The sequence below is a fragment of the Homo sapiens genome, chromosome 2 (assembly GCF_000001405.40).
Source record: "Homo sapiens chromosome 2, GRCh38.p14 Primary Assembly".
Lineage (NCBI taxonomy): Eukaryota > Metazoa > Chordata > Mammalia > Primates > Hominidae > Homo > Homo sapiens.
In genome coordinates, this window is record NC_000002.12 from 168,483,834 (window position 1) to 168,500,504 (window position 16,671).

Genomic DNA, 16,671 nt, shown 5'->3' on the forward strand with positions numbered 1-16,671 from the left:
TTCACTGGGCATCAGAGTCACCTGGAGAGCTCATGAGACCAGAAGGCTGGGTCCCACCTCCAGAATTTCTGAATCAGTAGATTTGGATTTGAATTGCATTTTTAACAAGTTCCCTGGTTATGCTGATGTTGCTAGTCCAGGGACCACACTTTGAGAACTACTGGTATAGAATATCTCTGTGTATTCAAAATATTGTACCAGTATGTTCAAAGCTAAAAGGTAGACTGTGCTTATTAAAAGCACAATCAAGAGGAAGTTCTACATGTCACTGAATACAACAAAAATGCTGTTGTTTTTAGTACCTATTTTTTTCTTTTTCTTTTTCTTTTTTCTGTTTTTTTTTTTTTTTTTTTTTTTTTTTTTTTGAGACGGAGCTTCACTCCTGTTGCCCAGGCTAAAGGACAATGGCGTGATCTCAGCTTACCACAGCCTCCACCTCCCGGGTTCAAGTAATTCTCCTGCCTCAGCCTCCCGAGTAGCTGGGATTATAGGCATTCACCTCCATGCCCGGCTAATTTTGTATTTTTAGTAGAGACGGGGTTTCTCCATGTTGGTCAGGCTGGTCTCGAACTCCCGACCTCAGGTGATCCACTTGCCTTGGCCTCCCAAAGTGTTGGGATTACAGGCGTTGAGCCACTGTGCTTCGCTTTGTTTTTTTTTTCCAAATCTTGAGGAGGGAAGAAAGTAACTGTCTACTGTAACCACACTGGTAAGGTGACATGTACCTTCATAGACACATAATCATTAAGTGTCCTGAACTGAGTGCTCTTCCTGTTTAACAGCTGGAAATGCTGAACTGCTTGTTGATGGTGTTTTGTAGGGAGAATTTATGCTCACTTGTGTTTTAACGTAAGTATGTATGGGTTTTTTTCCCTTCAGATTAGAACAGGGGCTTTAGTGTCTTTTTCATTCCAAATTTTTCTCATTAGAGGCATTTAGCATTTAAGTCCTGATATGTTGGTATTTTCAGCCTTGTGAATACTCATTGGAAGCTGCCCTGGGTCCAGCTTTAAGGGGATGTGAAGAGGGCTGTTTCCACAGGTAAATCCCTGGGGACTGAAATAACGCTTCATATTCTCTCATAGTGGAACAGAATGTACCTTCTTTATGAAAATAAACAAATGAATAACTAGGCATATTGGAAGTTAATGAGAAAAGAAGGCATAGAAAATGTAGGCAGGCTCTCATTAGGTGGTTTTCTATTTCAGCTGTTTGCCTCATAATACAGTTCAGGCTTATGAAATTGGAGAAAATGAAAATGTCCTTTGGTGCCATTTAAAAATCTTGACCCTTAAGTAAGATACAAAAACACAAAAGGTGACACACTGCCTTGCTTTTTTTTTTTTTTAAGAAGAGTTAATAGATTATTGTTTTAATCAGTTGTAGGTTTACAGGAACATGAATGGCAAGTACAGAGTTTCCACATTACTCCCCTACACTCACATTTTCTTTTTTATTAACATCTTTTATTAGTGTACTTTTGTTGCAGTTGATGAGCCAAATGGATACATTATTATTAACTAAAGTTCATAGTTTACATAAGTATTCACTCTTTGTGTTGTACGTTCCATGAGTTTTGCAAATGTATAGTGAGGTATATCCATCATTACACTATCAGAATAGTTCTACTGCCCTAAAAACCTTCTGTTCTCCATCTATTTATCCCTTTATGCCTCCCCCCACACTGAACTTTTGGAACTACTGATCTTTTTACCATATCTATGGTTTTGTCTTTTCCAGAATTTCATTTAGTTGGAATCATACAGTGTGTAACCTTTTCAGATTTCCTTCTTTCACTTTAGCAATATGCATTTAAGGTTCTCCCATGTTTTTTCATCCATTGATAATTCATTTTGTATGGCTGAGTAATATTCCACCTTATAGATAAACAAGTCACAGTTTATTCACCTATTAAAGGACGTCTTGGTTGTGTCCAAGTTTTGGCAATTATGAATGAAGCTGCTATAAATGTTTGTGTGTAGGTTTTTGTGAACATAAGTTTTCAAACCATTTGGGTTAATACCTAGCATGATTTGGCAATCATGCAGCTTGATTGCCAGATCATATAATAAGAGTATGTTTAGTCTCATCAGAAACTGCAAAACTGTTTTCCAAACTGGTTGTACCATTTTGTATTTCCACCAACAGTGCATGAGTTTCCATTGCTTGTCATTGTCACCAGCATTTTTTGTTTTAGTATTTTAGATCTTAGCTTATTAGGTGTGCTGTGGTATCTTATCAATTTAATTTGCATTTTCTTAATGACATATGATATTGAACATCTTTTCATATGCTTACCATTTGTATGTCCTTTTTGGCAAGGTGTCTGTTTAGATTTTTTGCCCATTCTTTCTTTAACTAGGTTGTTTTCTTATTATTAAGAGTTCTTTGCATATTTTGGATACCAGGTAGTCTTTTATCAGGTACTTGTTTTGCAAAGATTTTCTCTCTTGTCCTTTTATTCTCTTTTGCATAACAAAGGTTTTAAATTTTAATGAAGATCAGCTTACTGATTTTTTTCTTTCTTGGATTATGCTTTTGGTCTTGTATATTTTAAATAGTCAAAGCCAAACTCAGGATCATGTAGATTTTCTGTTATCTTCCAGGAGTTTTATAGTTTTTGCATTCTATGTTTGGATCTGTGATCCATTTTGAGCTGATTTTTGTTAAAGGTGTCTAGATTTGGTTTTGTTTTTTTTTTTTTTGCCTATGGCTGTTTAATTGTTCCGGAACCATTTGTTGAAAAGACAATCGTTTTTCCACGGAATTGCCTTTGCTCTTTGGTCAAAGATCAGTTGACTGTATTTGTGTGGGTCTGTTTCTAGACTCTATACTGCCTTACTTTTTAACTGCAAATTTGTAGTACTTGCTTTGGGTTCCTCCTGTGTTGATCCTCCTTATCTTAATAATATAGGTCAGTGCTTATACCCATGACTACTGAAGGTTTCTTCTTGTTTGTGTAGTTAGCATTTCACTCCTCCAAACATTCCTTGTGACACAGTGAAAGGAAGGACCAGCATTTCACATCTCCTTGTCCTTATCCACTTATTCATTGCTAGCTTTCACCGCTAATGTCAAACCTATTTTAGTAAATGAATTTAATAAATTCCATATAGTCCACTTAATGATTTTTTTTTCAGTGTGACTTCCAGGAATGAACTGCATCATAAAGGTGAGGGGTGCTATATTGATAAAGCACTTTTTGTCTGTCTGTTGCCTCATTTATAAAATAGAAATAATATTCCTCTTACCTGCAGCAGAATGATTTTGTTTTTGTTTTTAAATCACATCACAAAATGTATGTTAAAACACACAAGGTGAGGAAGGGTATTGATGATCCACTTGTACTGCAGGGTGCAGTTCTTTTCTATGTCTTCATTTTATTCTTTCTCCTTATTTATCTATTCCTATAGTTTTAACTATAACTGCAGTTTTCATTGAAGACTCTGATCCATGGGTCTTAGACAACTGATGAATTTCCATTGTAGAATTTTCCTTCCCTTGCTTAATCTCCTTGTCTCTCTCCTCTACTATTTTAAAGAAATGACTGGCAGAGAGGTGGAGTGCCTCCAAGGCTGCAATTTCATAGAGAGAATATTTGGGTCAAAATATTAATTGGAAGGACATCTGTCAGGTATAACCCCCAAAACATTATTTTCATCAAGGTGTAAGACTCAGTGATCCATTTAATGCTATTGCTAATCTTTATAAGTCTCATACAATTATAAGAGGCTTATCTGTATACTGTATAACCTTATGCTTACTTTAGGCTTGCTTACCCAAAATCTACATTTAGTTGCTTCTGAAAATATATTTTTTTCTTAAGCTACTTTTATGTGTTTTCCTTAGTATTCTCTAAACCACATAAGCTATTACTTTTGATTTTTTAATTTTAATTTTTATTAAGAGACAGGATCTCATTCTGTCACCTAGGCTGGAGCACAATCATAGCTCAGCCAATCATCCTGCCTTAAACTCCTGGGTTCAACCAGTCCTCCTGCCTCAGCCTCCAGGTAGCTGGGCGACGTGTGTGCCATGACATCCAGTTAATTTTTAAATTTTTTTTTGTAGAGACAGGGTGTTGCCATGTTGCCCAGGTTGGTCTTGAACTCCTGGCCTCAAGTGATCTTCCCACCTTGGCCTCCCAAAGTACTGGGATTACAGGCATTAACCACTGCCCTGGCCCAGTTGTAACTGTTAGTGAGGATGCCATGCCATTCCTAAAGCTTATACAATCCTGTGTATATAGGAATTTAGCACCTTTGTCAAACATGCAGTGTTTTAGATCTATTTGCTATATTTTGCTTTTGTTTTTAAAATAACTGTTGCATTATATTGTCTTAGATGGTAAGTTCATAAAGTGAAGGGATATGTTGATATATTTTATAAATTGTTGATGAACACAGCTTAATACTCTGGTAATGTTTTTCTGAGTAAAGAAGGAATAGCCACTATGTATAAATATGTTAGCATAGAGGAATGAAAAATTGGGAAAAACAAGAATAGGATTTTGGATGAAATTAATATAGCCAATCTATATATTAATGTATTAATAGATTTATTTTGATTATTATATGACGTAGTTTCTTCATCCTTTACTTTTAATCTGTGTAGGACTTGTATTTAAAATGGGTTTCTTGTAGGCAGCATATAGTTGGTTCTTGTAATTTTGAAAAATCTTTTTTCATGGGTGTGTTTAGATCATTTTTGTTTAATATAGTTAGTGACATGATTGGATTTAGACACACCATTTTGTTATTTGTTTTCCGTGTATTCCCTCAGTTATTTGTTTCTTCCCCCTTTTTCTGTCTTTTGGGTTATTTGAATCTTTTTAGCATTCCCTCTTAATATTCCATATTAGCTATTTTGCTATCTTTAAAAAAATTTTTTTTTGGTGAATGCTCTGGGAGTTATAATATAATACACCAAAACTTTCACACTCTACTCAAGAGTTAATGTTATATTCTTTAAGTAAAATGTAGACTCTTTATGATAGAGTTTCCTTTATCCTTCCCCACTTACCTGTAGGTTATAATCATGATGTATATTACATCTACATACATTGAAACCCCACCAGTGTTACACATTTTGCTTTCAGCAATCATATAAATTTTAAAGAACTTAAGGGAAAGTAGTCTTCTATATTTACCGAGATATTTATTATTTCTGTTTTTTGTGAAGATTCCAATTTCTTTCTGAGGTTATTTCCCTTAAGCCTGAAGCACGCTCCTTAGCTTTTTGTAGAGCAAGTCTGCTGAAAATGAATACTTTTAATTTTCCTCCATCTAAAAATACCATTATTTAGCTTTCTTTCCTGAAGGATGTTATTGATGGATATGGAATTTTAGGTTGGTGGATTTTTTTCCTTCAGCATTTTAAAGATGTTTTTCTATTGATTTCTTGCCTGCTTGGTTTATGATGTGAAGTTTTCAGTAATTCAAACCATTCTTCCTCTGTAATAATGTGTAACTTTAGCCATTGTGAATACTTTATTTTTGCTTTTAAGCAGTTGACTAAGTGTGACTATTTTTGAGCTTATTCTGTTTGGGGTTTGTGAACTTCTTGCATTTGTAAATTTGTGTCTTTTAATGAGTGGGAAGTTTTGGGCTATTATTTCTTCAAATAGTTTCTCCACCAATTTTTTTTTTTTTTTTTCTGGAAAACCAGTGACATGAATGCTAGAACTTTGTGATATTTTCCTGCAGGTCTTTGAGGCTCAGCTCATTTGTCTCAACAAATTTTTTTTTCTTTGTTCCTCATATTGGATCATTTCACTGACTCTTCAAGTTCACTTACTCTTTCTTCGGTTATATATATATTTTGACTTGAGCTATCCCATGAATTTATTTCAGATATTATATTTTTATTTCCACAATATGCACTTGTTTTTCTAGTTTTAATTTTTCTGTTGAGAACTTCTGTCTTTCCATTCATTCCATATCACCATGGAGGATATTTATAATATTTGTCCTTTGGGTTTCTCAGAGTTGGAATCTGATTGCTTTTTTCCCTAAGAACTGATCATATTTTCCTAGTTCTTCGTATGTGGAATGATGTTGGATTGTATCCTGGACATTGTGTATGTTATGTGGTATAGATTCTGGGTCCTGTTCTAATCTTCTAAATAATGTTGATCTTTTAAAATTTCTTTTAGCAGGCAATAAACCCAGCTAGATTCAGGTTATATTTCTGTCTCACCTTCTTGTGGCAAGTGGTACTAATCTCAGTTCAGGTTTCAAAGCCTTTGTGATGCAACTCTGGGTCTGTCCCGTGTGTGCCTCTCAGGGGCAGTGGTTTCTAGACTTAGTTCAGTTCTTATAGCTGTTGCTATACTGTTCTAGATCTGTGTCATGCATGCACAGCTTAGGGTGAAGCCAGGAATTGTGCTGATTCATGTTCAGAATTAGGGGATTCGCTTCTCCATTTTCTTTCTCTCCGTGATTCCCCCATCCTCTTTGGCCTGTGAGGGCTCCTTTTCCAGGTTCCTGTGGTCATAAAGACTGGGTTTCCTGGAGTATGAGTGGCTCAGGCTGCTGTCCTGCTGCTCTGCTGTATAGTGGGGCTCTGTGACTGGGTCCTGCTCCAGGACATAGCTGCCAGAATAAAAGAAAAAACAAAACCAAACAAAACAAAACTGGAAACTCATCTCCTTGTAGATCATTTCTTTACATTTGACTCCTCCAGAATTCACCTTGTTAACATTTCAGTCCTCAGTTGTTGCTCTTTGTATTATTTTGGTAGCTGTTGAGTATCGAGCACATGCTTCTGCTAAGTTTACAGGATATGACTTTTCTCACTCAGGTCACAACCCATACTTCCCTTTGTTGCTCATCTCTGTCCCAGGCACTCAGCTCTTTTTGTGGCCAGAGCTTTTAGTTTTAAAAAGCGAGAGAGAGAGAGAGGCTCTACTGGGCTTACTATCAGAGAGGAACTGGGGCTCCCTGCTTTTCTTTTGTTTCTGCTTTACAAAGTACGTCTATACCTCAAAGGAGAGAATATATGATGATAGTGTGTATAATGTCAACAGACCTTCCCCGCAGAGTTTGCAAAGAAGATCCATATTTTGCTACCAAGTGACACTTTGACATCGGGCTAACTTAAAACAGCAATTTTCTTCTTTTCACTGTTTTGTGAGATGTACTTTGTATTCATACTTTGGGGAGGCAGGTAACATTTTCTGAGGGGAAAAACGAAAGTCCCAAAAGAACTGGGAAGCCTAGAAGCAAGGAGTGCCAAAGAGGTGAGGGAAGAGCCTCATTGTCTGCAGGCAGTTGACAGTCACGCTGAGGATGGAGTCTGTGACCTGGCTCCAGCAAACTGCCATTGTCAGCTTCTCTTTCCAAATGACTGTTTGAAAGAAAACAGGGTTACCACATCTGCAAAAGAAGAATATGAGGAAGGAAAGAGGATTAGGTTAAAAATACTTAAAACTAAGGAGTGCTTCTTCCTTTGTTCATATAGGGCTTTGCGCCCATGTTTGGCTGTTTTTCATTAAAAGCAGTCTTAGTTTTTACTTTGAACTTAATCATTTCCAAGTGACAGTCTTGGCTTCTTTATATTTGACTTTATATTTAGGAGTCAGCAAAACAACTGTAATCCTGCCACTTATCATATTAGTATATTTTCTGTGCTATTTGTTCTTTTCTAATCTTTGTTTTTTTTTCAATAATGAAAGTGATAAATGCTTATTGTAAATACTTTAAACAATAGGAAAGTAGACACAGTAAGAAAGTAGAAACTGACTCCTTAGGGTTAACTATGGAACTATGGTTAATAGTGTTCAAGTTTTCTAGCTTCTCTTTTTTTTAAAAATTATACTTTAAGCTCTGGGATACATGTGCAGAACGTGTAGGTTTGTTACATAGGTATACACGTGCCATGGTGGTTTGCTGCACCCATCAACTCATTAGGTATTTCTCCTAATGCTATCGCCTCCCCTAGCCCCTCACCCCCCAACAGGCCCAGTGTGTGTTTCCCTCCCTGTGTCCATGTGTTCTCATTGTTCAGCTGCCACTTACGAGTGAGAACATGTGGTGTTTGGTTTTCTGTTCCTGTGTTAGTTTGCTGACAATAATGGTTTCCAGCTTCATCCATGTCCCTACAAAGGACATGAACTTATCCTTTTTTATGGCTGCATAGTATTCCATGGTGTATATGTGCCACATTTTCTTTATCCAGTCTATCATTGATGGGCATTTGGGTTGGTTCCAAGTCTTTGCTATTGTGAACAGTGCCGCAGTAAACATACGTGTGCATGTGTCTTGACAGTAGAATGATTTATAATCCTTTGGGTATATACCCAGTAATGGGATTGCTGGGTCAAATGGTATTTCTAGTTCTAGATCCTTGAGGAATTGCCACACTGTCTTCCACAATGGCTGAACTAATTTACATTCCCACCAACAGCGTAAAAGCATTCCTATTCGTCCACATCCTCTCCAGCATCTGTCGTTTCCTGACTTTTTAATGATCACCATTCTAACTGGTGTGAGATGGTATCTCATTGTGGTTTTGATTTGCATTTCTCTAATGACTAGTGATGATGAGCTCTTTTTCATGTTTGTTGGCCACATAAATGTCTTCTTTTGAGAAGTGTCTGTTCATATCCTTTGCCCACTTTTTGATGGGGTTGTTTTTTTCTTGTAAATTTGTGTAAGTTTTTTGTAGATTCTGGATATTAGCCCTTTGTCAGCTGGATAGATTGCAAAAATTTTCTCCCATTCTGTAGGTTGCCTGTTTACTCTGATGATAGTTTATTTTGCAGTGCAGAAGCTCTTCAGTTTAATTAGATCCCATTTGTCGATTTTGGCTTTTGTTGCCATTGCTTTTGGTGTTTTAGTCATGAAGTCTTTGGCCATGCCTATGTCCTGAATGGTATTGCTTAGGCTTTCTTCTAAGATTTTTATGATTTTAGGTCTTACGTTTAAGTTTTCTAGTTTCTTTTATTGGGAGAGGAATATGTAGTTAAAATTATTTTGTATTAAAAAGTTTGTCCTGTCACAGTAACTTTATAGCTTAAGCATTTTCACCATTTTTATACATAATGACTCTAAATGTAATTTTGTTTTAATTTTTAAATTATGTATAGGAAACAATTGAGTGGTATACAATGAGTGTTAAAATTTCCTCTTAATCTTCTTCTTTTTACTTCTCAATGGGATCCATTAGTACTATTACTTGTTTTTAGAATGTATACTTCTGTCATTCTTTGCTCTTTCTCTGAATATGTGAAGATTATTAGAATATAAATTTTTCTCCATTTGTTACAAACTCCTTGCAAACATAATTTTTTATGCTAAATTTCTGTTCTTTTGAAACTGGATGTTTTGGTTGCATTCCATTTTCCTTATTGTACTTTTAAAATGAAAAAAAATTTTTTTTCTTTCAGATCAGCCCCAGTAGCTTCTCAGATCCACCTTATCTGAAACATCTGATCTCTCCTAGCCACTTAAATAAAGTAACTTGTGAAAACACCTAACAGGCTCTTGGAATGAAGTCATGAGATGTATGTTTATTCTTCTGCCTCCTGTCTACTCACTCTTTTAACTCCTCAGCTACCAAGGTAGGGCAGATCAACTAACTAGCCCAGGGTTGAAGAGCTAATAAACACGGAAGCTGAGGCAGTCTGAGTCCAGAGTTCAGGCTCTTAACCACTGCGCTCTATAAAAGGCACAGAGCTAAGCACTGGGAATCTACCAGGGAGCAAGACAGACCCCATCTCTGTCCTCTCTGGATCTTACCTGCTAGCCAGGAAGGACTGGTAAAGAGCAGACCATATTAACAATGTAATATGGCCTTCAGATCAACCATGATAGGAATCAATTTTAGCTGAACACCAATAACCCACATGTGTATTACAGTCTTATTGTGGGTGAGTACTTGGTATTAGGTGGTTATTGTCAAAGTGATAAGACCAGGTTCCTGCATTTGGTGAGACACCCACATAAATACAAATACCTAAACCTTTCATAATGTAACATACAGATTAATGTAATATATTAATATAATATACATTAATATATCAATATATTATATATAACATATAATGCAAAAAGATGACAATGATGACAGGTGGAAGCGATCTAGGAGAAAGTTTTTTCTAACAGCCAGACTGGTGTCAAGACTGCACAGACTAAGGATGAATTCTGCCTCTGTCTTTCACCTCTTCTTGCTAAGCCAGAAGAGCCTCCTTTCTACAATGGAATATTATTCGTTATTTTCCAGTGTTGTAGGAGGAATCGTCGAGGGCTCAGGGAATGTTTCTCTTGTCCTTCACCCTTGTGTTTGTGCAGCTGCCCCATCACTTTTCCACTGTGGCATTTTGGCAATTGTAATTACATTGTTAATATGGTCTGCTCTTTACCAGTCCTTCCTGGCTAGCAGGTAAGATCCAGAGAGGACAGAGATGGGGTCTGTCTTGCTCCCTGGTAGATTCCCAGTGCTTAGCTCTGTGCCTTTTATAGAGTGCAGTGGTTAAGAGCCCGAACTCTGGACTCAGACTGCCTCAGCTTCCGTGTTTATTAGCTCTTCGACTTTGGGCTAGTTAGTTAACCTTTCTGTGCTTCAGTTTCATCATCTGTGAAATGAGGATAAAAATGGTGTGTATCTCTTTGGGTTATGATGAGGATCAAATAAATTAGTATTTAAATTAAAACATATATCTAACACTGTAAATGCTTGTTAAATAAATAACAGTTTCTCAATATCTTCAAAGGAAAAAATAAATGGGTCTTTGTCAGCCCTTTCCAGTGAGCTGAGTGTGTCCTGCTGGCCCCCTATCGACTTCACTAGGGATGACACCATGTTCAAGAGACCGAAGAAGAGACCCAGAGCCAGCGAACGAGTCATAGAGTTGATTGAGGGGACTTATATACAGGGTGTTCCAGTGGTGGCAGGCTGGACAGGAGAACCACTACCCTTTGTTAAAAGCATGGAATATCGATAGCTTTTTCACTTAGCATTCTCCCCCTAGTGACCTCCACCTGGCAATCTTCATTTAACCCAACACAAAGGGCTTTGATTCCCTGTATGGCTTGCATTCTGTGGGGTGGGCCAGGGGTTCAGATGTTCCTTATAGATAAGGAATGAATCTCTGGGTTGGCTACTCCTGGATTCCTTAGCTTGGAACCTTGAACACACATTCTTTTTAGACCATAGGGTCATTCTGAGGGTATGTTTAAGTTATTGCTGTCAGGTGCATCTGCCATGCAGGGTAGAATATTGCAGTCCTTTGCTTTGACACATAGTTTGGCCCATGGGATGGCTGAACTCCCATGAACAAAATTGTCCTCATTGGGAACATATTAACCAAGAAACATAGCTTTATACTTGTGATAGTCTGACTCTCATGATTGTGAATTGTACCTAGTCAAAGTCATTAATAGCAGTTTATTGATAGAGCGATGGAAGCGGTGAGGAGTATGTTAAAAAATTTAACTCCTTTCTATTCTACCATTCTCCGCTGAACCTGTGCAACATTCAGTCAAAAGTAAAGTGTTTTATTTAAAGTCAAAACAATAGTCACCTGAGGTTTAAATTTTTGGGTGCTTAACAGGGATCAGAAAGACTGGTCGGAGTTGTAAAAATGCACAATGCAGTTTTCTGCTTTCAGACTGTCCCTGTCTCTCAGGTCCACTTGGTTCCATCTTTGCTTCAAAGTCTAGGTGGAGAAGCAAACGCAAACCTGTTAAGACAACTAAATGACAAAGACAACAAAACAAACAAACAAAACTTCCCAGGAGGGTGAAGGGCCAATCCTTGTAAGTCTTGAACGTGGTTGGGGCATCTAGCAGTATTTTTGCATTTGGACAATAGTGTAAAGAGCACTGAAACTTGAAAGTGAGAAAATTAAATGGCAGTTATTTCCCCAAGGTAGTGATGACTCATGTGTGCATGCTCCTTTCTAGTTTCCAGTGTATTTTCACATATAGTGTCATATCTGTCTCATTCTCCTTTCAGGGGGGGCATGATTGTTTCCATTTTGACTTTGCCCTTGTGCACCTATCTGGTACAGTGGTTATTTATGTACATTTGTCTGCTACAAAATTCAACAGGTACAAAAAGGTATTCCCCAAAACTTAAGTCTCCATCCCCACCCTGTCTCCCAACTACCCAGGTGATCTCCCTGGGGATAACCACTATTTATTTGTGTCCTTTGCAGTTACAAGCACATGCACACATGCTTTATTTGGTCCCCACTGCAACCTTGCATGCAACACAATAGATGCTGTTCTGAACTGGGTTCTTTTCACTCTTTATGTATCTTGAGGATTATCCCATGTTGGTGCACACAGACATGTGCCACATGCTATATATCAGTTGCTTAGTATTTCACTTATTCAATTAATCTCCCACTAAAGGATACTTAGGTTGTTTCTAGTATCTTCCTATACAAAGACTGTTAACAGTGAATAATCTTGTATATATATCATTTGATACCTGTACAATGACACTAGTATAGTAGTTTTAAAAGCTATTTGGTTGACAGAGAACTTGGAAGTCATGATTTTTTTTTTTTGTAGAAAAAAATGGTAACATATTGTATGTAAAACAACTAAAGATTTGAGCTAGAGTAGAGATTGCCTTATACTTAGATATAAGCGGGTGGTCTGAGTTTAAGGCGAAAATGATAGGAAGCCATCAGGCTCCATGAGAGGGGATTCTTGTCTTTTGGGTCCCCACACTATCACCAGCACCTGGGACACCCGCACACAGAGTTCAGCTCTATAATTCTGTGTCAAATTGATAGTGAGCACAACACTTTCTTACCTGCCTACTCACAGGGTTGCTGTGGGAGTCCCATGAAATTAATTTTTTTTAATAAACCTGAAAGTACAACATAGAAGATATCATCATTATTTGTAGAGTACTTATATTATGTTGCTCATCTTGTTTCTAGTAGTAGCTCTAGATTTTAAAGGAATCTCTAGCATGATCAGTGAACATGATTGATGTAGGAATTTTCTAGATTAGTTTGGGGCTTCCATTTAATTCTAAAATGAAAATTTTACTTTCAGCTTCATGCCTAACAAGCAGAGTTTGATGTACCTAGTCTAACATTTTTCTGACAATTTGCAGCCATCACTGTCAACATTGAAAAATCTGTGTTAGATAGTGAGGCTTTTAAATAATGCCATCAATATACCTGTCTCTAAAAGTCTTCTATCCATTCTGCCATTTCTAATCTAGCCTAGGCAGGAAAAGCAGACCTGGATAATTCATCACTGTGTCTCAAGTGTAAGTAAACTGCTTTGAACCACAGTTTATAGGGGGCGTGGGTAGCCTGGAAAGGATCACTCTGAAAGGAGTAGAATACTCTCTTAGAGAAAAAGAAAGTGTGGTAGACAGAAGGGATATTCAAAGTATAATGGTGGTGACTGAGTTATGTGTTAGAAACAGTTTTGTCTAGTCCGACTAGAAGGAATTAACTTGGATTTTCAAATTCAACAAATATTGACTGAGCACCTTCTGTGTGCTTCAGGCAGTTAGTAAACTATGAGAAAATAAAATGTGTCAGGTAGTGATAAATACCACAGCAATAAATAAATAAATAAATAGGGAAGGAAGGGAGAGAAAGAAGGAAAGAAAGAAAAGAAAGAAAGATAGATACCTAAGTACTTGTATGTACAGAGGAATGGGAATACCATAGGTGAGCTTGCATGTAGGTGGTCAGGGAAGAACTCCCTGGTAAGGTGACCTCTGAGCAGAGACCTGAAGGAGGTGAGGGAGCCAACAGTAAGTGCAGTGGCCCCATGGCAGTACCTGCATAATCTGTTCCAGGAAAAGGAGAGGGAGTCAGTTTGGCTGCAGCAGGGTGAGCAGGTGGAGAACAGGAGCAGGCAAAGTTGGTGACATGGTGGCTGGCTCATCACAGAGGGCCTTGGGAAGCCCTGGGAAGCCCCTGGCTTTTACTCTGAGTGACATGGGATGCCGTTAGTAGGTTTTGAGCAATTGAGTGACATGAGCTTCCTTCTTGGTTGCTGCATAGAGGGGAGATGCAGAAAAACCAGTTAGGAGACTGCTATAAAATCGAGACTGGAGATGAAGGTGGCTCTGAAATATCAGAACCTTAAGATGCTTGGGTAAGTGGAGAAGACCAGTTAGGGAGACCCTTACTAATAACAATGGAAAACAGCCATTGATCTTCAAAGGAAGACTCCTGATACCAAGCCTCCTGCATTTCTCTTCCTGATAGGCTATTCTAGCCAGCATCTTCACGGCCCTATTTCTTACCTGGCAGAAGAACCACAATGTAAAACGCTGTTATCAGTAAGCTTCAGTTTTGTAAACACCACAATCCCCAAAATAGTCATATTGCTAAAGTGTTTGCCAACATTTAAAACCCTTTTCTAAGGTTATTGATAACCTCTTTGTCGAATTTAGTGGCACTTGTTCCTTTTTAATCCCCCTCCACATCTTCTTGGACTTCTGTCATCCTAATGCTGGATTTTTATTCTCTTTCTCCTGAATCCTGGCCTTTTGGTGTGTGCTGTTGACTGAAAAAAATCACAAATCTGTAAATTTGGAAAGGAGGGCTTTATTTCTAAAAGAGGGTACCACAACCTGCAGGCAGGAAGCAGAGCCTCTGGCAGAAACTGAAAAGCAATGCTTCCAAAGAGGGGCAAAAGGAACAGGAACTTACACCAAGCAGGGTGGCCGGGTATACATATTCAGCAGGTTATGGGGGAGCTATGAATATTCACGAGAGGGTGGCCTGCACGTGTGCAGTAGGCTAACGTGTATGCAACATGTGTCCCACGTTCACCTGGGAGTGGAGACTTAACGTAAATATATTACAGTTAGGCTCTTTATATCAAAAGATGAAGCAAAGGACACAATAGCCGTTTGTGTGCATCCTCCGTAGACTGGCCAGAACCACGCCGTGGCTGGTGGTCTCTTACCAGGAAGGAGTGCTGGTCAGTCCTTGCGCTGAAACGCAGAAGGGATGGGCAGCGTCAGGTGGTTGGTCCATATCAGTGGGGATGTCTTTTGAAAGGGCTGGTTTCTATTTAGCCCGTAGGGAGGGAAGAAAGCCTAATTGTGGTTAGTGAGGAGGGGGTATAATGAGGTGTGTCTGACTTCCCCCCCACATCTCGTTATGACCGTGAACTTAGTTTTCAAGGTTACTCTGGGGTCCCCTTGGCCAAGAGGAGGTCCATTCAGTAGGGTGGTGGCTTAGCATTTTATCTTAGGTTTACATTCTCCCCCTTTTGGCTGAGATTTGTCAGAGGCAACAGTGATGGCCAAACTTATTTTCTCCTGTAACATTGCCAGAGTGATTTGGCTACCTGCCCCAGGTCCTGTCCCTTGATGGGACCCCTATGGTCAAGGGACTTAGAGCCAAAAGACCTACAGCCAATTAAATATTGTAGGCCAGACTGGAATGGAGGTGGGCAGGCACTAAGTAACCCTTAAAACTTTTTGAGCAATATAAGAGCCGAAACCAAAGCCAAAAGGCGAGGTTACGAAATGGACTTATCTATATGTTTTTCATGTTGAGCCACCATAAACTTGGTTTTAGGTACAGACTTGCAATAATTAGTTATATAGAACACAAGCATTTTGATCATCAGAAAAAGGAACAAAGTGGTGAGTTATGACATTACCACACTTACGACAAGGGTTTGCAAGGTGGATCCAAACCAATTTCCAAATATGTAGGGAGCCAGCTGTAAGATCATTGAGGGGGTCTGTAATGTGTAGTTGGTACTTCTTGTAACCCTTTGGCTTGTTTGGAAATTTTTTCTGTATGGGTTTCTACCTCACCTGGTGTTGATGTCCGTACAACAGGTGGTTTGAGTCACTGCACAGACTCCTTGTTTGGCTAGAAGAAAATCTCATGCAGCCCAGTGATCTAAAACCACTTGAGTTAAATTTCTTGGCTCAATTTTTGTGGTGCTGCAATACGTTTTGTGGTTTCATCAGCAGTTTTTCCTAGGGTGGCCAATAGATTTCTTATCATGTCTCTATTTGCATAAACCCCGTAACCGGGAACTGCTATACCCAAAAAGGCTCTGCCACCAGGTGTTTTGATATCCTCCTGGTAACTCATTTTTTAGTCTGTGGAAAGCAGGAAACCTCTCATTATTGGGCTGGATGGAGAAGGGGGCTGCTCAGTATCCCAATAAACAAGAACCTTTGTGCAGGCTGTCAGAGCAGCAGTGTGCTACCCTAGTGTGGGTGGGTCAGATCCTATGCCACTTATAAACATAATCTGGGGGATCACAAGTGATACCCCCAAGAGTATGTTCTTTGATGGACTCATTCATAGGAAGTGCCTACAATACTAAATTTAAAAATGGGTCGCTTCTCTCACAAGCTTTCCAAAATCCATTCATATGACATTTTAAATATAAGTATTGTTGGCATAATGGGGATGAAGTTTTACATTATTTGCTTGATCTAGACTGCATTTGTCTACCCAGTAGTTCATAGATTGAGAGGGTCTCAAGGTATAGAATGAATGTACAGCATTAGTAACAGGAGACAAATTAAAACAAGGGGTGGTCATATTTGGCTGTGCAAGCAATTGTACCCATAAAGTTGACAAGGAATGGAATTGGTCCAGGTAACTGGTGACATCAGGGAAATTGGAAAAGTCCATGATGGATATTATTAATGGCAGATGTTTATTGTGAATGGATTTAGGAAGCCTGTGGACATATCCAACAA

The 16,671-nt window shown here is 38.4% G+C and overlaps 1 protein-coding gene across 2 annotated transcripts in view, besides 1 other annotated feature; it reads left to right on the forward strand.

The window, feature by feature from the left end:
* CERS6 (ceramide synthase 6) overlaps positions 1-16,671 on the forward strand; it is a 318,863-nt gene that overhangs the window by 27,562 nt on the left and 274,630 nt on the right. The gene's annotated exons all lie outside the window — the stretch shown is intronic.
* Positions 6,353-6,742: an enhancer, noted in NCBI's record as "active region_16733". NCBI's record gives its function as "activates an Ori minimal core promoter by ATAC-STARR-seq in GM12878 lymphoblastoid cells {active_cell/tissue: GM12878}" and the evidence as "EXISTENCE:reporter gene assay evidence [ECO:0000049][PMID:35858748]".